The following is a 23,754-nucleotide window of genomic DNA, read 5'->3' as shown; positions in this document are numbered from 1 at the left end:
GTGGCCGGGGATTGCGTGTCCAAAGCCTGGCTGCTAGTCAGGTTCCTATAAATATTGGTAGGACAGAGCGTATTAAAGTTTTTATTTTAAGATTTTTAAGCACAAGAAAGTTGAGAGAGTAACATGAATACTCACGTACTCTCCACCTAGATTTAATAATCAGAAAAAATTATGTGTGTAGGCCTTTATTTTTTACAAACCCTCTTGTTTAACGTTACCGCCTTCCAAATGAAGCTCATTGGTGAGTGGTGTGGGGATCTATTCAGAGCCCCATGACTGCAGCCCTTCAGCAGGGTTAAGGCCACCTGCCACACCCCACTTTGGGAAGCTGGCTTCCTCTCCTCTCCCTCCGTTTCCAAGCTGCTCAGGAGGTGCCCTCAGAAAGATCAGTTACAATTAGTGTTATCTGCGTAGGGGACTGGGCAGCAGATCTCATTGATCTGGGCTGGGATCGGCAGGTGGGTTGGTCCAAGTTGAGAGGGAGATCCTGCAGAAGCTCTTAGCTGCTGCAGGATTCAACACTAACTCCTTAAGGTAGCAACAAGGGCCCTTTGTAAAATCTGGCCAGAAACAGGTATCTTAGATGCATCTTCACACCCGCCAGTATCCAGTCTACCCTTATCATGTCAGCCCTGCTTTCAGAATCACCCAGAATCTGACCCTTCTGCCTCCACAGTGGTTCAGGGCCCTGCAGTCGCTTTCCTGCATTGTGACAATAGATTGCTTTCTCCTCTCTGTTTCCACCTTTCTCATCTCTTGTCTCTTATGGAAGCCAGAGTGTTCTCTTTTCTTTTCTTTCTTTTTTTGAAACAGTCTCACTCTTTCACCCAGGCCAGAGTACAGTGGTGCGATCACAGGTCACTGCAACCTCCGCCTCCCAGGTTCAGGTGATTCACCTCAGCCTCCAGAGTAGCTGGGACTACGCGCACATCACCACCACACTCAGCAAATTTTTGTATTTTCAGTAGAGACGGGCTTTCACCATGTTGGCCAGGCTTATCTCGAACTTCTGACCTCAGGTGATCCACCTTCCTTGGCTTCCCAAAGTGCTGGATTATATGTGTGAGCCACCGCGCCCGGCCCAGAATGTTTCTTTTAAAGCGTAACTCCAATTATGTCACTGCTCTGCTCAAACTTTCCAGTGTCCCCTCATCTCAGAGTAAGAGCCAAGTCCTTGCTGTGTCCTGGGAGCCCTGCTACTTGATAGGGGACTCCAGCTCCCTCTCTAACCCCTCCATCCACTCCTCCTCCGTGCCTCTGCTCCAGCCACCACTCTTCCTCAAACACTAAGCACAAAGTTACCCCTTTTGCACTCTGTAAATAGGCAAAGACTGCTCATCCTCAAAATGAATACCTGGCTTACTCCTCTTCCTTTGGGTCTCTGTTCAAGCACAAAAGCCTTCTTCAAGTGCCCTATTAAAATATGAAACCAGGGGGCACGGTGGCTCATGCCTGTAATCACAGCACTTTGGGAGGCCAAGGCGGTTGGATCACTTGAGGTCAGTTGTTTGAGACTGGCCTGGCCAACATGGTGAAACCCCGTCTTTACTAAAAATACAAAAATTAGCCTGGCATGGTGGTGTGAGCCTGTAATCCCAACTACTTGGGAGGCTGAGGCAGGAGAATTGCTTGAACCCGGGAGGCAGAAGTTGCAGTGAGCCAAGATAGCACCACTGCACTCCAGCCTGGGTGACAGAGTGAGACTCTGTCTCTAAATAAATAAATAAAAATAAAAAAATATGAAACCAATCCCCTGCACTCACTAACCCTATTATTCTGCTGTTTTTTCCCCCAACTTATCACTCCCTGATACATTGTGTATTTGTTTGTTTATATCAATTCACACTTTCCTATAAGAATGTGGGCTCTTGGCTGGGCGCAGTGGCTCATGCCTGTAATCCCAGCACTTTGGGAGGCCGAGGTGGGCAGATCACAAGGTCAGGAGATCGAGACCATCCTGGCTAACACGGTGAAACCCCGTCTCTACTAAAAATACAAAAATTAGCCGGGCGTGGTGGCAGGCGCCTGTAGTTCCAGCTACTCGGGAGGCTGAGGCAGGAGGATGGCGTGAACCCGGGAGGTGGAGCTTGCAGTGAGCTGAGATAGCACCACTGCACTCCAGCCTGGGCAATATAGCTAGACTCCGTCAAAAAAAAAAAAATGCGGGATCTTCTGAGCCAGGCGCAGCAGCTCACGCCTGTAATCCCAGCACTTTGGGAGGCCGAGGTGGGTAAATCACTTGAGGCCGGGAGTTTAAGACCAGCCTGGCCAACATGGTGAAACCCCGTCTCTACTAAAAATACAAAAATTAGCCAGGCGTGGTTGTCGGTACCTATAATCCCAACTACTTGGGACGCTGAGGCAGGAGGATCGCTCAAACACTGGAGGCAGAGGTTGCAGTGGCGAGATTGCGCTACTGCCCTCCAGCCTGGGCGACTGAGTGAAATTCCATCTCGAAAAAAAAAAAAGAATGTGGCCTCTTCTGAAGGGCATTTATATCAGAAAAAAAAGAATGTGAGCACTGCAAGAAGTTTTTTTCTGTTCAGTTCTGTATCAGTAGTACCTAGAATAGCATCTGGCATACAGCAGGTGCTCCAAGAGTAAATGAATGGCCCTGTGGTGCCTCTTCCTAGCTAGACATGTGTTCAGTATGTCAATTAACCCATCTAAACAGGGTGGGCAATTGTCCCAATTTCCCCGGACTGTGGTCGTTCCCAGAACTAGGCTTTCAGTGCTAAGACTGGGCAAATTGGGTTTTGCTCCTAGACAAAATGTGTTGGTCACCCTACCTGTAAGCCTACATTTCATCATCTATGAAAAAATAGTTGGCTGGTCACGGTGGCGCACGCCTGTAATCCCAGAACTTTGGGAGGCTGAGGCGGGCGAATCACAAGGTCAGGAGTTCAAGACCAGCCTGGCCAACATGGTGAAACCCCGTCTCTACTAAAAATACAAAAAATTAGCTGGGTGTAATGGCGGGCACCTGTAATGCCAGCTACTCGGGAGGCAGAGGCAGGAGAATCGCTTGAACCCGGGAGGCGGAGGTTGCAGTGGGCCATGATCTTGCCACTGCACTCCAGCCCAGGTGATAAGAGTGAGACTCTGTCTCAAAATAAATCAAGTAAATAAATAAGTAAATACTATATACCTCCTTTATCATGATGGTTTAGGGGCACGGGACTGATACTCCCTTAGAAGTTAAGCTAATTGTGAAAGACTTTTTTTTTTTTTAAATACGGAATCTTGCTCTGTTGCCCAACCTGGAGTGCAGTGATGCAATCTCGACTCACTGAAACCTCCACCTCCCAGGTTCAAGCAGTTCTACCTCAGCCTCCGGAGTACCTGGGATTACAGGCGCGGGCCACCTCACCTGGCTAATTTTTGTATTTTCATTAGAGACGAGGTTTTGCCGTGTTGGCCAGGCTGGTCTGGAACTCCTGACCTCAAGTGATCCACCTGTCTCGGCCTTCCAAAGTGTTGAAATTACAGGCGTGCGCCACCACACCTGGTCTGAAAGACTTTTTAAAACTATCTTTTTTGCTTATTACGAAAGTAATACAATCTTCATTTTTTTAAATCCCAAAATGTGCAGAAGTAAATGCCATAGAAAGTGAAACCCCTGGTGACCAGGAGTGGAGTGAAGGTCGTGGTGTCTGAGCCGCACATTTCCCAGGAGTAATAGCCGAGAGTAGACCCTTTGCAGCAGCTTTGTTGGGTTTAGATTTGCCATGTCACCCCAAATAAGGTCACACATCCAATGGCAGGGGCACACAAGACAGCCCATGACCATTCCACTTTGATTATTAAACACTTAAATGACGTTAGAAGGGCAATAATTCTATTTTCACTGTGAGAAATTACTGGAACCCCTCCAAACAAAAGCTTTGTGAGCCTGCCTTGCCCTAGAAAGTCCAAAGTGGCATCAAAACACTGCCTTCCAGAAGTCCTGCCTCAGAGCAGCCTCTGTTGCAAAACGTGTCACCGCAATTGCAAAATATCCTGCTTTAGACCAGAAAGTATCATTCCCTGCCCAATTCTGTCATGGGGTTTTGGTATCAGCTCCGAGGAGTTTTCTGACCAGACGAGATGGGATCACACAGCACCCACAGCGTCACTGCACAGTCTCATCCTTTCTCCATCTGGTAGTGGGAGACTGCCTGGGAGGTGCTGGGTTGCCACCGTCCAGAGTCAGGGACGGGTGCTGGCCCCAGTGATACCCCATTCAACACCCTTCTTCTGGCCCAGCCTAAAAATTCCAAAAATCTGCTGTCTGCACCATCAATGTGCATTTCATCCACTTTTTTTTTTTTTTTTTTTTTTTTTTTTTGAGACAGGGTGTCTTGCTGTGTCACCCAGGCTGGAGAGCAGTGGTGCAATCACAGCTCATTGCAGCCTGAACCTAGGCTCAAGCAATCTTCCCACCTCAGCCTCCTGAGTAGCAGCAGGGACCACCAGTGTGTGCCACCACACCCAGCTAATATTTTTTCTATTTTTTGTAGAGGCAGGGTCTCCTTATGTTGCCCAGGCTAATCTCAAACTCTTGGGCTTAAGTAATCCTCCTGTCTCAGCCTCCCAAGGGCTGGGATTGCAGGTGTGAGCCACTACACCCAGCCCAATTCACCCTTTTTTTAGGGAAGATGTTGGGTTTGGGCTCAGAAAGATCTAGCAAACTGCATGTTTGTTGTCAGCTATGAAAACAATGCAAAAACACCAAATACTCTGTGAAATAGGAAACAGGTGGACCAGCTGGACAGTAAGTTAAATTCAACCAACCAGAACTCATCAAAGCCTTGAATCCCAGGCTGGGCACACACAGAGGAGCTCACACCCAGAGCTGGGTGTTCAGCTAGGCGTCGCAATGTTGTGACTGACCTGTGGAAGTGACCCATCCTGGACCTCAGTGGTCAGCTGGAAATGTGACATCCATGGGTAGTCATTAACAGTAAAATCACAAATTATTGTCATGCAGGAGACGATGTTGTGAAGTGGTTTGACGTTTGGATCTTGGCTCTAGGCAAGTCACTAAGCTACAGATTCTTGGCTGCACAGGGGGATGATAAACGCAGCCCTGCAGGGTGCTGCAGAGATTCTAGGAGGAAGTGTTTATAAAGCTAGTGGTGGCTGGTGCCGAGGAAGTGCTGGTGAAGGGTAAATTGCATTATTAACAAAACTTCTGGCCGGGCGCAGTGGCTCACACCTGTAATCCCAGCACTTTGGGAGGCCAAAGCGAGTGGATCGCTTGAGATCAGGAGTTCAAGACCAGCCTGCGCAACATAGTGAGACCCTGTCTCTATAAAAAATACAAAAATTGGCCAGATGTGGTGGAATGCACCTGTAGTCTCAGCTACTTGGGAGGCTGAGGTTGGAGGGTTGCTCAAGCCCAGGAGGCAGAAGTTGCAGTGAGCCAAGATCCCACTACTGCACTCCAGCCTGAGTGACTGAGCAAGACCCTATCTAAAAATAAAAAAATTAGGGTATGCAACGGTCAGAAGTAGGTAAGTGAGGAGTCAGTTCACCCTACATGTAATTTTTCATTTATTTATTTTTTTTGAGACAAAGTCCCGCTCTGTCGCCCAAGCTGGAGTACAATGGCGCAACCTCGGCTCACTGCAACATCTGCCTCCCATGTTCAAGTGATTCTCCTGCCTCAGCCTCCTGAGTAGCTGGGAGTACAGGTGCGTGCCACCATGCCTGGCTAATTTTTGTATTTTTAGTAGAGATGGGGTTTTACTGTGTTGGCCAGGCTGGTCTTGTACTCCCAACCTGAGGTGATCCACCCACCTCGGCCTCCCAAAGTGCTGGGATTACAGGCGTTAGCCACTGTGCCCTGCCCCCAACATGTAACTTCTGTTAGCTTCAAAGCCACCTCTGGGGCCCTGCACCACATATGAGCTGAAGGACACCCGTGCCTTTTCACCCGTGTAGCTCCAGCATCTTGGCACACTGTCTAGAATGTTCAATGAATGTGCACGGAAGAGCATTCTGGCTCCAGGGAGCGAGGACTGAGTCAGCTCTGGGAACAGATGAGTCAGGCTGGTGGTCCAGGCATTGCTTTTCAAGTCCTTCATGTGGCTGGAAGAACCAGTCAACTGGAACCGGATCAACAGGGGTGATGGCATGGCAAGAGTTATCTCCTGGCAGTGCCCTTCTGGCCTCACTTGCCTTCTTGGGCCAGGAAAGGCAAAGCTCACAGGACTGTATTCAGTGCCCACCCCTTCCCCCGTCCTGTGCCATTGGCTCTGGAAGGTCCCTGAAACCCCGAGTCTGGAGGAGAACAGTTGACCAGCAGGGCGGGCCCTCAGCATAGTCCTCTCTGTTCCCACTCACCCGCTCTGCCAGCCCCAGATCCTGGCAGGAAGGAAGATTGGAGGGGGTGTCTGGAATCCAATCCCAGACCTTCCCTTGCAGACTTGCCCATCTGTCTGTGGTCTAGTGTGGAGGCGAGGTCCAGGGTTTGGGAGGGGTGTGGGGGCACATGTCTGCCAAGGCATGGAGCCCTCCCAGCTGGAAAATCCTCTGAACCTGTAAGAAGAGAACACAGCCGGCATGGACACACCCTTACCCTTAGTCTCAGTTCCCACCAAGACACAGAGCATTTCCTGTGCCTTTTCCGCTATTTCACAACCTGCCTTTTCTTGCTCACCAAGGACAGAGGCTTCTTTTCCTACCAGAAGCCAGACAGCTGGCTCGAGCCTCTCCTGCTCAGCACCATGGCTAAGACCCCTAGTGACCATCTGCTGTCCACCCTGGAGGAGCTGGTGCCCTATGACTTCGAGAAGTTCAAGTTCAAGCTGCAGAACACCAGTGTGCAGAAGGAGCACTCCAGGATCCCCCGGAGCCAGATCCAGAGAGCCAGGCCGGTGAAGATGGCCACTCTGCTGGTCACCTACTATGGGGAAGAGTACGCCGTGCAGCTCACCCTGCAGGTCCTGCGGGCCATCAACCAGCGCCTGCTGGCCGAGGAGCTCCACAGGGCAGCCATTCAGGGTAAGCGGGCCCAGGCCTCCTCCTCATCCAGTGCTGAGTGCTGGCTGCTTTGTGGGAAAGGGGACCAGGAGCTCAGAGCAGCTCACTCTGACCTGGGGATTGGGAGTCTCAGGTCTACCAAAATCCAGATGACTTTAGTTCAGGAACGTCCCTTTCTTCACTCTGGCCTTTGGAACTGGGTTAGTAAACTTCCTTCAGGCTCCTAATGGGTTTTTTAAGAAGCAGGTCAGGGTCACGAAAGGCAGGAGCTGGAACACCTGTTCTTTGAGACTTCTTCACTACATTTATGATTAATACTCATGTCAGACAAACATCTCTAGGTTAGCAAAAAGGGATTGCTATGCAATCATATGAACGGGGTTGGTATAGAATCTTCTCAGTGCTGTTCACCATGTTGGCCAGGCTGGTCTCGAACTCCTGACCTCAAGTGATCCTCCCGCCTCAGCCTCCCAAAGTGCTGGGATTTCAGACATAGGCCACCGTGCCCGGCTTATTTTTATTTTTAAAGCGTATAATCTGGGTTTTGCTGACCTGTGTAAGATCTTATTTGAAACAGTTGTCCTGCTTAAAACGTTTGAAAAGTACTATTTGAGAAATATAGGCTAGGCATGGTGGCTCACACTTATAAATAATCTCAGCACTTTGGGAGGCTAAGGTGGGTGGATTGCTAGAGCTCAGGAGTTTGAGACCAGCTTGGGCAACATGGTGAAACCCTGTCTCTACCAAAAATACAAAAAAATGAGCCAGGCGTGGTAGCACACACCTGTATTTTCAGCTATTGAAAAAACAGAAAACAGGCTGAGGTGAGAGGATTGCTTGAGCCTGGGAGGCAGAGGTTGCAGTGAGCTGAGATCACATCAGGGCAACAGAGCAAGATCCTGTCTCAAAAAATAAAATAAGAGAGAGAGAAATACATAGCAACATCAAGCATGTTCTTACTGAATGGTAATTGACTGCCATTGTCTAGTCTAGGAAGTCCTGAACTTTTGTTTTTGAGATGGAGTCTTGCTCTGTCACTCAGGCTGGAGTGCAGTGGCCCGATCTCAGCTCACTGCAACCTCCACATCCCGGGCTCAAGCGATTCTCATGCCTCAGCCTCCCGAGTAGCTGGGACTACAGGTGCGCACCACCGCGTCTGGCTGAGTTTCTTATTTTTAGTAGGAACGGGGTTTTGCCATGTTGGCCAGGCTGGTCTCGAACTCCTGACCTCAAATGATCCTCCCACCTTGGCCTCTGGAGAAGCTGGGATTACAGGCATGCGCCACCACGCTCAGCTTATTTTTGTATTTTTAGTAGAGACGGGGTTTCACCCTGTTGGTCTTGAACTCCTGATCTCAGGTGATCCTCCCGCCTCGGCCTCCCAGAGTGCCGGGAATACAGGCATGAGCCACCGCGCCCGGCCCGTTGTTTTCCTCAATTTCTAAACTTTAATATCCAAGGGGATTCTCTCTCCTCTGCCCTGAATCTTGGGCCCTAAACGTGGGACAGCTTCATCATTTTGCATCTGGTTGTCCTTCCAGAATATTCCACACAAGAAAACGGCACAGATGATTCCGCAGCGTCCAGCTCCCTGGGGGAGAACAAGCCCAGGAGCCTGAAGACTCCAGACCACCCCGAGGGGAACGAGGGGAACGGCCCTCGGCCGTACGGGGGCGGAGCTGCCAGCCTGCGGTGCAGCCAGCCCGAGGCCGGGAGGGGGCTGTCGAGGAAGCCCCTGAGCAAACGCAGAGAGAAGGCCTCGGAGGGCCTGGACGCGCAGGGCAAGCCTCGGACCCGGAGCCCGGCCCTGCCGGGCGGGAGAAGCCCCGGCCCCTGCAGGGCGCTAGAGGGGGGCCAGGCCGAGGTCCGGCTGCGCAGAAACGCCAGCTCCGCGGGGAGGCTGCAGGGGCTGGCGGGGGGCGCCCCGGGGCAGAAGGAGTGCAGGCCCTTCGAAGTGTACCTGCCCTCGGGAAAGATGCGACCTAGAAGCCTTGAGGTCACCATTTCTACAGGGGAGAAGGCGCCCGCAAATCCAGAAATTCTCCTGACTCTAGAGGAAAAGACAGCTGCGAATCTGGACTCGGCAACAGAACCCCGGGCAAGGCCCACTCCGGATGGAGGGGCATCTGCGGACCTGAAGGAAGGCCCTGGAAATCCAGAACATTCGGTCACCGGTAAATTGTGTTCTTTCCTACTTTATATCGGCTGCAGAGAAAGAATGGCTGGCCGGGCACGATAGCTCATGCCTGTAATCCCAGCGCTTTGGGAGGCCAGGGCGGGAGGATTGCTGGAGGCCAAGACTTTGAGACCAGCCTGGTGAATGTAGTGAGACCCCCGCCATCTCTATAAACGAAATTAAAAAAATAAAAACCCAAAGGTTGGGCAGGGCGTGGTAGCTCTCGCCTGTAATCCCAGAGCTTTGAGAGGCCTGCACGGGAGGATCTCTTGACCCCAGGAGTTCCATACTAGCCTAGGCAACACAGTGAGACCCCATCTCTACAAAATACAATAGTGGCACGCGCCTGTAGTCCCAGCTGCTCGGGTTCACTTGAGCAGACGGAGTTCCAGGCTACAGTGAGCTGAGATCATGCCACTGCACACCAGCCTGAGCAACGTAGCCAGACTCCACTTCTACAAAACTAAAAAAAAAATTAGCTGGGTATGGTGGCACACGCCTGTAATTCTAGCCACTCAGGAAGCTGAGGCAGGAGGATTGCTTGAGCCAGGGAGTTCCAGGCTGCAGTGAGCTGAGGATGTGCCACTGCACTCCGGCCTGGGCAACAGAGCAAGACCCTGTCTCTTAAACATTTTGGGGGGAAAAAAAAAGAAAGAAAGAATGTCCGATTGAAAAAGGCAATCAGGTGTTATCAGTGGCCAAAGAATGGAGAAGGGGAGCTCACCTCTGCAGGCGTCTGCTTGCCAGGGATGGGAGGCAGGGCGATTTTAGAGTCCAGGGAGGGGAAGGGAGATAGGTAAGCAGGCCCAGGGCAGGGTTCCATATGTGCAGGCGCTGTCCCCAGCATGCTTCTTCCTACATCGCATGGACACAAAACCCTGGCCATCTTCTTTTAGGGGAGGGACCTTTAGCCTTATAACAATGTGTAAATGATCTTAAGGTAACTGGAAGTCACCTCTTCCAGTTTGCACTGGTTTTGCTCTGATCTTAACTTCCTCTGGTTTTTGGCAAGGGATCAGGAGGCTCCAGGCCATCTGGATTTTTTTAAGCAGCTGTCCCTATAGGTAAAGAGACTAAAAAAAAACTGTAAAAGAAAAATGCCACCAGTTTAGAGGGTACCGAGGCTATCCAGGTGACAATTCCATGCTCGTGGTGGGGGCAGCATTCAGAAACACACTTTCCTTTTTTTTTTTTTTTTTTTTTTTTGAGACAGAGTCTCAGTCTGTCTCCCATGCTGGAGTGCAGTAGTGTGAGCACAGTTTACTGCAGCCTCAACCTCCTAGGCTCAAGCGATCCTCCCACCTCAGCCTTCCAAGTAGCTGAGACTATAGGTGCTCACCACCACACCTGGTTAATTTTTTTTTTTTTTTTTGTATTTTTTGTAGTTACGAGGACTGTCTATGTTGCCCAGGCTGGTTTTGAACTCTTGGGCTCAAGCGATCCCCCGCCTTAGCCTCTAAAAGTGCTAGGATTTCAGGTGTGAGTCACTACACCCAGCCTATGGAACACACTTTCCAATGCATTGTTGGCTGGAGAGGAGAAATCACAGCACTCAAGGAGGAGAAATAGAATTGGGGGTCCAGGCCGGGTGCGGTGGCTCATACCTGTAATCCCAGCACTTTGGGAGGCCAATGGGGGCGGATCACCTGAGGTGAGGAGTTCGAGACCAGCCTGCCAACATGGTGAAACGCCATCTCTACTAAAAATACTAAATTTGCTGGGCGTGGTGGCGGGTGTCCATAATCCCAGCTACTCAGAAGGCTTCGAGGCAGGAGAATTGCTTGAACCGAGGAGGCAGAGGTTGCAGTGAGCCAAGATCATGCCACTGCACTCTAGCCTGGGCGACAAGAGCAAAACTCTGTCTCAAAAAAAAAAAAAAAAAAGAATTGGGAGTCCAGGGACCCCTGAGACCTGGGAGGGGAAAGGATGTGGTATGCTGCATGAGTCTTCAAATCCAGAAGTCCCTGGGTCTTCCAGTGAGAAAGGACCCTGGGATCTGGAAAACCTAGCATCCTTAGGAATAGTGACCTGAAAAGTACTGAAGTATTTCCCCCCTAATTTTCTTTTATCCCTACTGTATTTTTTTTAATTTTTTTTTTTTTTTAGATATGGGGTCTTGCTATGTTGCCCAGGTTGGTCTCGAACTCCTGATCTCAAACAATCCTCCCATCTTTGCCTCCGAAACTGCTGGGATTACAGGTGTGCACCACTGCACCAGGTCCCCACTGTATTTATATCATTGGGATTCCTGGGTGTCTTCTAGGGCCGCTTCGTTAATCTGATGCAGGCTTAGACCCTGAAAAATGCATATATGCACAGCTTCACAAATGTCACATCAAATTTCAGGTAGTTCTTGGACACTCTGAAGACCATCTTTAGAATCCAAGGGGTTTATGGACACCAGGTAGAAAATCTGGGGAAGACTGGTTAAAAATACTCCCTCTCACAATAACCTCACAGCAATGCATCATCATGGGGTTGAGATTCTACCATTTGCCTTTCTCTCAGCAGAAAGAAAAGCCTATTGGCTAAAGTCCTAACTATCTACTGCTGAGGTAGTCATTAAAATTATGTTTGGTTGTGAATAATAGAAACACCCAAATAACAGTAACCTCAACAGAAAAGAAGTTTGTGCCTCCTTCACATAAATGATACACAGGCGGTCCCAGGCAGATCCGTGGGCCAGGACCCTGGGGTCCTGCTGTTGCTCTGTCCCACCAAGTTTGTCCTCAAGCTTCTGCTCTCAGAAGGTGACGTCCTCATGCCAGGCAGCAAGATGGAGGAACAGAGGGGAATAGTATCCCTCGGGAAAGCTCTAGAAGTTTCTAGAAGCTGCTTGTGACACCTCCATTTACATCCCTTTGGTCATATTATTGTCAAATAGCCACACCTAACTGCAAAGGAGGCTGAGAAATGCAGGGCATTTGGGGGGCAATGGGAGGCAGGGAAACAGGGAAACGTGGACAATTAATTCTATCACGAGAGAAGGAGGGAGAATAATTTCTGGTGACTACTAGCAGTCTCATTTACAGATGTGCTGTGAATTTCTGGGACACTGTGAGGTGGGAGGAGGTAGCAGGGGCTAAAGGATTGAGTGTGTTTCTATTTCTTTTTTTTTTTTTTTTTTTTTTTGAGATGGAGTCTCTCTTGGTCACCCAGACTGGAGTGCAGTGGCGCAACTTCAGCTCACTGCAAACTCCGCCTCCCGGGTTCAAGCAATTCTCCTGCCTCAGCCTCCCGAGTAGCTGGGATTACAGGTGCCCACCACCACGTCCGGCTAATTTTTGTATTTTTAGTAGAGACAGGGTTTCACCATCTTGGCCAGGCTGGTCTTGAACTCCTGACCTCATGACCCACCCGCCTCGGCCTCCCAAAGTGCTGGGATTACAGGCGTGAGCCACTGCGCTCGGCCTTGTGTTTCTATTTCTTCTTGTATCTCGTGGCATGTCTGCTTATGAAGTTGCAATTAGAGTCTTGGAGTAGAGCTATTCATAACTGTTAGGTCTTCATGATGAGTTCCAGTCTTTAGCCCTATAATGCCCCCCTTCTTTGCTTTTTCTTTTAAGATGGCATCTTACTCTGTTGCCCAGGCTGGAGTGCAGTGGTGCAGCATCAACCTCCTAGGTTCAAGCAATCCTCCTGTCTCAGCCTCCCAAGTAGCTGGGATTAGAGGTGTGCACCACCACACCTGGCTAATTTTTTAATTTTTTGTAGAGGTGGGCTCTTGCCATGTTGCCCAGGCTGGTCTCAAACTCCTGAGCTTAAGCAGTCCTCCCACCTTGGCCTCCCAAAGCACTGGGATTATAGGCATGAGCCACCACCCAGCCCCTTCTTTGCTTTCATTTAATGGTTATTGAACTCATATGTGAGCAGTGGTCTATTTATTCCTTCATTCAATACTCATTTTCCAAATGCTTGCATTTGCCAGGTACTCTGCTAGGGGCTGGGATCCAGCTAGGAGCGAGGTACACAAGTCACCATCCCCTGGAAGCCTCCACTCACGTTATGGGCAGCCAGGGATGGGTTCAAGTGGCAAAGGAACACTGGTCAGAATGTCTCTTTCCTTGGCATCACCTGCTAGATCTATGTCTGTGCAGGAGGAACAGCACAAGGCCATGGGTCTTTCTTTAGGATAAATGCCCAAGAATTCCAAGGCTCAGGAATGTCTGAGGTCTGGCCCTTAGCTCTCAGGCCCAGTGGCCTGTTTGCTTCCTCACTGGATGGAAGTCGGGGGAGGACAAGCTAGGAAGTGGGCAGAGTCTAACTGAGAACTCGCACATCTCAGGCAAGGGCTGTGTCCGCTGTGCTTTGTGATACCTCTGTGTAAGCAACTTGGGTTTGCCATTCAGGGGGTTTTTCCACTGCATGTCCCCAGGAAGGCCACCAGACACGGCTGCGAGTCCCCGCTGCCACGCCCAGGAAGGAGACCCAGTTGACGGTACCTGTGTGCGTGATTCCTGCAGCTTCCCCGAGGCAGTTTCTGGGCACCCCCAGGCCTCAGGCAGCCGCTCACCTGGCTGCCCCCGGTGCCAGGACTCCCATGAAAGGAAGAGCCCGGGAAGCCTAAGCCCCCAGCCCCTGCCACAGTGTAAGCGCCACCTGAAGCAGGTCCAGCTGCTCTTCTGTGAGGATCACGATGAGCCCATCTGCCTCATCTGCAGTCTGAGTCAGGAGCACCAAGGCCACCGGGTGCGCCCCATTGAGGAGGTCGCCCTGGAACACAAGGTAGGCACTCCCTGCCTGTGGGCTCTTCTCTGCCAGGCACTTGGACACACTGGGCCTTACTTCATTTTCCCAACAACTCTGGGTTGTTGGTGCATTAACCAGCATTCTTGGGCTGGAAATGGCAAGAACACAATATAAACCAGTCCAGCAAAGAGGGGAGCTACAGGTTTATGTTGCTCAGAGATCCAGGGGGAGCTGGCTTCAGGTATGGCTGAATCCAGAGGCTCAGAGGAAGTGCCTCTCAGCTCTGCTGCCTTTGGCAATTCAGCCATTCCTCCCTCCTCTTTCCTGAGCACCCCTCCCCATGCCGCTGGCAGCAGCACCCTCAGCCTTGCTACCAGAAGGAGATGTTCCCCTCCAGAGTTGGCACCAGCTAAAGATGGCAGGAGCCAAATTCAAGCTTTTCAACAAGTGCTGTTTTTCCAGAAGAAAATTCAGAAGCAGCTGGAGCATCTGAAGAAGCTGAGAAAATCAGGGGAGGAGCAGCGATCCTATGGGGAGGAGAAGGCAGTGAGCTTTCTGGTAAGGTCAGAGGTGGCTGATGGCCCATCCGTCCCTGGGAGGAAGGTGGGAAGAGTGAGCAGGGGTCCCCGAGATTCTGCTGTGGTTCACAGGGCAGCAGGGATGGCCACCTCCTCTCAGGGGACAGAGGGTAACCAGCAGCCAAGGGTAAGCTCATCCCTGTAGAGGGAGACCACCCCCAGCAGGCAGGGGTCACCTCTGAGGATCCTGTCATGCTTTCTCATACTCACCAGAAGATGGTAGAGAGCAACCTATGCCGGTGACTACTGCAGAAAGATGGGATTGAGGAAAAGGGAGGAGAACGCCACTTTCTTTTTTTGTGACGGAGTCTCGCTCTGTCACCCAGGTTGTAGTGCAGTGGTGTGATCTTGGCTCACTGCAACCTCTGCCTCCCGGGTTCAAGCGATTCTCCTGCCTCAGCCTCCTGAGTAGCTGGGATTATAGGTGAGTGCCACCATGCCTGGCTAATTTTTGTAGTTTTAGTAGAGATGGGGTTTCACCATGTTGGTCAGGCTGTTCTCGAACTCCTGAACTCGTGATCCGCCCGCCTTGGCCTCCCAAAGTACTGGGATTACAGATGTGAGCCACTGCGCCCGGCCAAGAACACTTTTAACTTCATAATTTACTCTCTGTTTTTTTGTTTTGTTTCCAAGATGGAGTCTCGCTCTGTCACCCAGGCTGGAGTACAGTGGCACGATCTTGGCTTGCTCCAACCTCCACCTCCGAGGTTCAAGCAATTCTCCTGCCTCAGCCTCCTTAGTGGCTGGAATTACAGGCGCCTGCCACCGCGCCTGGCTAATTTTTGTATTTTTAGTAGAGACGGGATTTCACCGTGTTGGCCAGGCTGGTCTCAAACTCCTGACCTCAGGTGATCCACCTGCCTCGGCCTCCCAAAGTGCTGGGATTACAGGTGTGAGCCATCGTGCCTGGGCTGGTTTTTTTGTTTTTTAGGGTTTTTTTTTTTTTTTTTTTTTGAGATGGAATCTCACTCCGTCGTCCAGGCTGGGGTGCAGTGGTGCAATCTCGGCTCACTGCAAACCTTCGCCTCCCCAGTTGAAGCAATTCTCCTGCCTCAGCCTCCCGAGTTGCTGGGACTGTAGGCACATGCCACCACTCCTGGCTAATTTTTGTATTTTTAGTAAAGACAGAGTTTCCCCATGTTGGCCAGGCTGGTCTCGAACTCCTGATCTCAAGTGATCTGCCCAACTCAGCCTCCCAAAGTGCTGGGATTACAGACATGAGCCAATGCACCCAGCCCAAATTTCCCCATTTTATAAGACAACATTTATATTGGATTAGGGACCCACCCAATCCCAGTAGGACCACATCTTAACTAATTACATCTGCAAGAACTCTTATCTCCAAATAAGATCACATGCTGAGTACTGGGGGTTAGGGCTTCAACGTGTAAATTTTGGAAGGGACACAGTTAAACCTTAACACCAGGTTTAAGGACATTTTCCCAGAGCTAGCCCCAGCCATGCTCAGTCTTTTCTGGAAGGTTCCAGACAATATCGCCTCCTGCTCTGGAATCTAGGCCTTGAAGAGGCAGCATAAGCCCACCTCTTATCCACCTCCAGGAGGTGGGCTTCTGGGGGTTCCTGGACATCCACGTCCACCCACAGCACAGACCCCCATACCTCCCTGTCCTCTGCTCCCCAGAAACAAACTGAAGCGCTGAAGCAGCGGGTGCAGAGGAAGCTGGAGCAGGTGTACTACTTCCTGGAGCAGCAAGAGCATTTCTTTGTGGCCTCACTGGAGGACGTGGGCCAGATGGTTGGGCAGATCAGGAAGGCATATGACACCCGCGTATCCCAGGACATCGCCCTGCTCGATGCGCTGATTGGGGAACTGGAGGCCAAGGAGTGCCAGTCAGAATGGGAACTTCTGCAGGTGGGTGTGCCTGGGCCCGGCTTTCTTGGGTCCCCTGTGCCTATCAGGATGCCTCAGGCTCCCAGCTCTGCCATCAGCCGTGCTGGAACAAGTGGGTGAAGCCCCTAAGGCCTAGGATAGGACTTGGTCTTGGTGACCCACAGTGCCTCTTGTGCCCAGACCCCTTTGATGAGGTCTCTCAGGAGCCCAGGGTGGCCTGGTATCCAGGGGATCTCTGCCATTTCCCAGAAGGGATCAGCAGGGCTTGAGGGCCGTTCCATTGCAGGCCTCGCCACCTGGGATGCCTGAATTCCCGTGGTTAGAATTAGACTTGAAGAAAGGTGCTCCACTTCCACTGACACCCTAGGGCAGGGAGCCCTGGTAAGTGCAGCGGGGAGCTAAAAGTCCAGGAGCCCAGAAGTAGAGGCCAGGAGTCAGCCCAGCCACTAGGAGCCTGGTAACCGACAGTTTCCTTCTTTTTTCTCCTAGGACATTGGAGACATCTTGCACAGGTACAGCGAGGTCCTGTGGTGTACCCTGGGGTGTCTTGCAGAAAGCATATGGGGGAGACAGTCCCAGAAGGGACCTGGGAGGGAGATGTTCCCAACCCCGGGGTCTGTGATTCCAGACTCCTCCTTTTTTCTGCAGCTTCCCAAAGCCTCTCTGGATTTGATAGGGAGAAGGGCATCTGGTCAGCAGGGAGGCTGGCCGGGTATGGAGCTGCAGACTGGGAAGGGTGAATTCAGCCCATCCTGCTGAAACAAGATGGAGGCTCCCTAAGAAACCTTCCGAGTGCATTGTGTCCCGTGCAGTTCATCTGATGAAAGCTGCCCCTTCAGGCCTACTGGTGGCCTTGGGAAGCTTGTTTGGAGTGGAGCTGGGCTAAGCCCAGCAGGAAGGGGAGGGGAGGGAAGGGACAGGAAGAGGCTAAGCCTTAAAATCACCTGGGAGCTTTACAAAATCCCGGTGTCCTTTTGTGTCTGGCTTCTTCACTTAGCATAATGTCTTCGGGCTTCATCCGTGTTGTAACGTGTATCAGAATTTATTTTCTTTTTATGGCTGAATCATAGTCCAGTGTGTGTTCATACATTTTGCTTATCCATTCATGGATATCGGGACTTCTTCTAACTTTTGGTTTGTGAATAATGTTGCTATGAACAAGGGTGTACAAATATCTGCTTGAGACCCTGCTTTGTTATTTTGGGTACCTACCCAGAAGTGGAACTGCGGGACCATGTGGTTATCCTGTGTTTAATTTTTTTTGAGGAACCACCATCCTAATTCTCACAGGGGCTGCATCGCTTCACATTCCCACCAGCAGCACACAGGGGCTCCAGTTTCTCCACATCTTTGCCATCACTTATTTTCTTCTGTTTCACTCTCTCTCTCTCTCTTTTTTTTTGAAGACAGCGTCTTGCTCTGTCATCCAGGCTGGAGTGCAGTGGCGCGATCTTGGCTCACTACAACCTCTGCCTCCCAGGTTCAAGGGATTCTCCCACCTCAGCCTCCCTAGTAGCTGGGACTACAGGAGCGTGCCACCATGCCCAGCTAATTTTTTTGGTAGACAGGGTTTCACCATATTAGCCAGGCTGGTCTCAAACTCCTGACCTCAAGTGATCCACCCACCTTGGCCTCCCAAAGCGCTGGGATTGCAGGCGTGAGCCACCGTGCCCAGCCATTTCTCTTTCCTTCCTTCCCTCCCTCCCTCCCTTCCTTCCTTTCTTCCTTCCTTCCTTTCTTTTCTTCTTGAGACAAGGTCTCACTCCCATCACTAAGGCTGGAGAGCAGTGGCACAGTCACAGCTCACTGCAGGCTCAGCTTCCTGGGCTCGGGTGATTCTGAGTAGCTGGCATCCTGAGTAGCTGGGACTACAGGCATGTGCTACCACTTCCGGCTACTTTTTTGTATTTTTAATAGAGACAGGGTTTCGCCATGTTGCCCAAGCTGGACTTGAACTCCTGGGCTCAAGCGATCCCACTGCCCCGGCCTCCTGAAGTGCTAGGATTACAGGCATGAGCCACCATACCTGGTCTATTTTTTTCTGTTGTTGCTGTTTTTATAATAGCCATTCTAATGGATGTGAAGGGATATTTTGTTGTGTGTGTTTTTTTTTCATTTATTATCTTTTTATTTCAATAGAAAGAAAGGGGTGTATAATCAATTTGACATAGATAATTCTAGTAGATAATATCAATGTCATTTTAAGTCCATTCTGAAAACTCCTTGTGGTTTTGATATCCATGTCTTTAAAGCACCCCAGTACATGACAGTCTGTGGCCAAAGTTGAGGACCAGCATTTAGACCTCTGAATCCAGGGAAGACTTTTCTTTGTGTAGCTCAGGCTGGGCTAGGTGTGCCCTGTGGAGAATGTAGTTCATTTCCAGCTCACGGGTACTTGGGCCACCCCCTCGCTCCGGCCTTCTCTGGTCAACAGTCTTTTGTCTCTAGGGCTAAGACAGTGCCTGTCCCTGAAAAGTGGACCACTCCTCAAGAGATAAAACAAAAGATCCAACTCCTCCACCAGAAGTCAGAGTTTGTGGAGAAGAGCACAAAGTACTTCTCAGGTAGATGGGCTTGGGAGAAGATTGGAGGTGCATGCTCACTTCCTCCCTAAGATCCACATAGCCCAGAGCCCCTCACTTCCCTCCTCTTCCCCTGGTCTTGCTGACCTGCCTTCAACCTCTCCTCCATCTGTCCCTGGCTGAGGGACCTAACTCCAGCTTCTCTCTGCTCCCTTTCCCACATTTTAGAAACCCTGCGTTCAGAAATGGAAATGTTCAATGGTGAGTCCAGCGGTAATGGTGTGTGCTGGCCTGGGGTTGTTGCAGTGTTCCCTTGTGCTGTTGACTTGAGGGGCCCTATTTAGAAGACAAAAAAAAAAACCAAACACCTGGAGCAAAGGTAGGAGAAAGGTCATGGCAGGCCCCCCAGGCTCTGTGCGTGACTCATTGACTGAGTTGACTCATTAGACCACAGTCCCCAACATGGCCTGGGTTCCTGGGAGGAACGGGATTATACCCAACATAGCATGCAGGGCCCTAAGCAGGGGGTTCCTTGTCTTTCCTTGTTGTCAGGACAGTGTAATTTAGCCCCTCTTAATGCTAATGCTCAGGATTTTTTTCCCTATCTGATTTTTCTCCGTAGTTCCGGAGCTGATTGGCGCTCAGGCACATGCTGGTAAGTGCCCAGATCAAGGCAAGTGGCCCTGGCCTGCTGGATCCCTGTGCTCTCCCCTACCACGTTCCAGAAGAACTACCCTGTCCCTGTTTCCTGCAGGTGGGGAGAACCCTGTAGGGATGTTGCCCATGGACCCCTACCTAGGTATTCAAATTTTCTTTGCAGTTAATGTGATTCTGGATGCAGAAACCGCTTACCCCAACCTCATCTTCTCTGATGATCTGAAGAGTGTTAGACTTGGAAACAAGTGGGAGAGGCTGCCTGATGGCCCGCAAAGATTTGACAGCTGTATCATTGTTCTGGGCTCTCCGAGTTTCCTCTCTGGCCGCCGTTACTGGGAGGTGGAGGTTGGAGACAAGACAGCATGGATCCTGGGAGCCTGCAAGACATCCATAAGCAGGAAAGGGAACATGACTCTGTCGCCAGAGAATGGCTACTGGGTGGTGATAATGATGAAGGAAAATGAGTACCAGGCGTCCAGCGTTCCCCCGACCCGCCTGCTAATAAAGGAGCCTCCCAAGCGTGTGGGCATCTTCGTGGACTACAGAGTTGGAAGCATCTCCTTTTACAATGTGACAGCCAGATCCCACATCTATACATTCGCCAGCTGCTCTTTCTCTGGGCCCCTTCAACCTATCTTCAGCCCTGGGACACGTGATGGAGGGAAGAACACAGCTCCTCTGACTATCTGTCCAGTGGGTGGTCAGGGGCCTGACTGAATGCCCAACACTGCATCTCTCTTCCTGCTTCTGGCCTTGTATCTTGCATTCACACTCAATAGTCACGGAATGCCGACTAGGTGCTAGCTGCTATGGGAAATGCAAAAATAACAAAATAGTTACTGTGCCCACGGAGCCTACCCGATTATAGCAGAGGTAAGTTAGGAACGAACATGTTAGTCAATCCGGGTGAAGACATGTACTGATGACACACCATGGATTTCAGAGGAGGAAGTACGGAGTCGTTGCATAATCCGCCCCTGGTGGGTGGCACTCTCAGGTGCTCCTGAACAGAAGATTTGGCCCTCATTTTCCCTCAGAACCCCACGGCAAGGATATATGTCCCCTTGTTCTCTCTGCTTCTGTCTTGAGGATATGGGAAGCCTAGAGAAACGCAAGCAGACTGGATTGGGATAGAAGTATTTGTGTACCTGGATTAATGAACTATGATTTTTTTTTTTTTTTTTTGAGACCAAATCTTGCTCTGTGGCCCAGGCTGGAGTGCAGTGGCACGATCTCAGCTCACTGCAACCTCCACCTCCCAGGTTCAAGCGATTCTCCTGCCTCAGCCTCCTGAGCAGCTGGGATTACAGGTGCGTGCCACCACACCAGGCTGGTTTTCTTGTATTTTTAGTAGAGACGGGGGTTTCACCATGTTAGCCAGGCTGGTCTCGAACTCCTGACCTCAGGTGATCCACCCGCCTCAGCCTCCCAAAGTGCTGGGATTACAGGCATGAGCCACTGTGCCCGGCCTATGATTCTTTTTTTTTTTTTTTTTTGAGACAAAGTTTTGCTCTTGTCACCCAGGCTGGAGTGCAGTGGTGCAATCTTGGCTCGCAACCTCCGCCTCCCAGGTTCAAGAGATTCTCCTGCCTCAGCCTCCGAAGTAGCTGGGATTACAGGCGCCCGCCACCATGCCCGGCTAATTTTTTGCATTTTTAGTAGACATGAGGTTTCATCATGTTGGCCAGGCCGGTCTCAAACTCCTGACCTCAGGTGATGCACCCACCTCAGCCTCCCAAAGTGCAGGGATTACAGGCATGAGCCACCATGCCGGGCCATGATTCTTAAGAGAATTGACTGGGCCTCATGAATAAAAAAATTAGAAAATCTGGTCATTTGCATTTGTCACTCAATCACTGTGGAATCCCATTTCCCGACTGCATTTCAGGAAGCAGATGGGACTACTGTATGGAAAAACATTTGGCATGTATTCCAAGTGTCAGATTATTCTGTCTTGGTTTGTATGGGAAAATCTGCGGGTTGTGGAATATTAGGTTCTACTTCACACACATCCCGTGCATTTGTCCTTCATTTAAAGAGATGTAAAGGGGCCGGGCATGGTGACTCACATCTGTAATCTCAGCATTTTGGGAGGCAAAGGCGGGTGGATCGCCTGAGCCCAGGGATTGAGACCAGCTGGGCAATGTGGCGAAAACCCGTCTCTACAAAAAATACAAAAATTAGCCATAGGGATGGGGGTGGGAGGATGGCTTGAGCGCAGGAGATCGAGGCTGCAGCAGTGAACTGAGACTGCACTACGGCAATCCAGCCTGGGCAACAGAGTGAGTCCCTGTCTCCAAAAAGTGGATGTAAGAAGAAAAAAATCAAATGAAGATTAAATTCCAAACTCCTATGCCAACTCCTCTGTCTTCACTACTAGAGTGTAGATTAGACTCAGATACTCCATGGCTATGATGAGAGCAGGTAAACTTGCTGGGCTTTCCTCCACGAGTTTTATTCTATAAGAGTAATCCACATCCCAGGACAGTTCACATGACCTACGGCTTAGCTGTTCCCTGCGGTGGGTCATGTCTTATTCCCGATTCTCCCTTGTTATAAGCTTTTCATGAATATCTTTGTGTATATTTTCCACCACCTCACCATATACATATTTTTTTCTCCTGTGTTATTCCTAAAATGGTTCCTGAATGTGAAATATCTGATAATGCTTCCTACGGGTTGCCATACCATCCTTTGCAAAGATTTTTAAAATATTTCATGCCCAAAGCAATGACTGCCATTTAAAATTTTTTTGCTGATTTAATAGGGATGTAATGAGGCCTTACTTCTGTTTTATTTCATTACCTGTTAATGAGGCTGTGAATTTTTCCATGTGAATTTCTGCTTTTTGCTTCATTCTATGGAAATTGTACAGTTCCTTTGAATACTTGCTATTTGGAATCTACATATTGAACTTCGTGTTTTGCTGTACTTCTTCATACATGTTTTAGGCTGGGTGCGGTGGCTCACGCCTGCAATCCCAACACTTTGGGAGCCGGAGGTGGGCAGATCGCTTGCATCCAGGGTTCGAGACCAGCCTGGGCAACATGGCGAAACCTCGTCTCTACCAGAAAATACAAAAATTAGCCAGGCATGGTGGTGAGCACCTGTAGTCCCAGCTGCTCCGGAAGCTGAGGCAGGAGAATTGCTTGAGCCTTTGAGGCAGAGGCTGCAGTAAGCCGAGATTGTGCCACTGCACTCCAACCTCGGCAACAGAACAACACCCTGTCTCAAAAAATAAAAAAATTAAAAAAGGAAAACAAAAACATAAATGTTTTAGGTAGTACACATTTGAATCTGTCTGATGAAATTTCTCTGCCTAGTGGTTATTTTATGGAGCTCTAAATCCATACCATAAAATGCATCCTTTTAAAGTGGAAAATTCAGTGTTTCTTAGTATATGCATTGTGTGTATAAATATCACCACTAATACCAGAACATTTTATCATATGTATTAGCAGTCACTCCCCATTCTCCCCCATTCCCCAGAGCATGTAAACCACTAGGCTACTTTCTGTCTCTATGGATTTGCCTATTCTGGACATATGATGTTAAGTGGAATCATACGATATGTGTTTTTTGCGACTGATTCTTTTGCTTAGTGTGTTTTCATGGCCCATCCACGTTGCAGCATGTGTCACTACTTTCATCCTGTTTTATCACTGAATAATCCATTATATGATTACATGTAAATATCACTTCTTGTTCATCCACTGATCACTTACAGGACATTGGGTTGTTTCCACTTTTAGGCTAGTGTGAACACGTTATTGTGTGAACACACATTTCCATTTCTCTTGAGTTTATACCTTGAAATTGAACTGCTTGTTCACATGGTAACTATTTTAAGAAACTGCCGGCCGGGTGCGGTGGCTCACGCCTGTAATCCCAACACTTTGGGAGGCCGAGGCAGGCGGATCACAAGGTCAGGAGATCGAGACCATCCTGGCTAACACGGTGAAACCCCGTTTCTACTAAGAATACAAAAAAAAATTAGCCGGGCGTGGTGGTGGGCGCCTGTAGTTCCAGCTACTGACGAGGCTGAGGCAGGAGAATGGCGTGAACCCGGGAGGCGGAGCTTGCAGTGAGCCGAGATCCCGCCACTGCACTCCAGCCTGGGCGACAGAGCGAGACTCCGTCTCAAAAAAAAAAAAAAAAAAAAAAGAAACTGCCAAACTGTTTTCCAAAGTAGCTGGACCATTTTAGGTCCTTTCCAAAGTAGCTGGACCACCAGCAATATAGGAGGGTTTCATTTTCTCCACATCCTCACCAATAACATTTTTATGGTATTTTTTATTATAGTAATTCTAGTGT

At 50.0% G+C, this 23,754-nt stretch overlaps 1 protein-coding gene across 2 annotated transcripts, besides 1 other annotated feature; it reads left to right on the top strand.

Moving 5' to 3' along the window:
* Positions 6,665-21,271, top strand: MEFV (MEFV innate immunity regulator, pyrin). 2 transcript variants are annotated; one of them, NM_000243.3, is made up of 10 exons: positions 6,665-6,987; positions 8,508-9,140; positions 13,518-13,867; positions 14,294-14,389; positions 16,052-16,282; positions 16,751-16,773; positions 18,710-18,825; positions 19,012-19,044; positions 19,406-19,438; positions 19,604-21,271. In NM_000243.3, exons 1-10 carry the CDS (start codon positions 6,711-6,713, stop codon positions 20,155-20,157), a joined length of 2,346 nt encoding a protein of 781 aa, NP_000234.1. In that variant the 5' UTR covers positions 6,665-6,710; the 3' UTR covers positions 20,158-21,271. The 2 variants fall into 2 exon arrangements, with proteins under 2 accessions (NP_000234.1, NP_001185465.2); NM_001198536.2 differs by lacking the exon at positions 8,508-9,140 and having other exon boundaries at positions 19,231-19,438.
* Positions 18,777-19,976: an enhancer, noted in NCBI's record as "CDK7 strongly-dependent group 2 enhancer chr16:3293322-3294521 (GRCh37/hg19 assembly coordinates)". NCBI's record gives its function as "activates an origin of replication core promoter dependent on BRD2, BRD4, P300/CBP, MED14 and CDK7 cofactors, with strong dependence on CDK7, by STARR-seq in HCT116 cells {active_cell/tissue: HCT116}" and the evidence as "EXISTENCE:reporter gene assay evidence [ECO:0000049][PMID:35650434]".

This window comes from Homo sapiens, chromosome 16 (genome assembly GCF_000001405.40).
Source record: "Homo sapiens chromosome 16, GRCh38.p14 Primary Assembly".
NCBI classification, from domain to species: Eukaryota; Metazoa; Chordata; class Mammalia; order Primates; family Hominidae; genus Homo; species Homo sapiens.
This window is presented reverse-complemented; position numbering and strand designations above follow the sequence as displayed.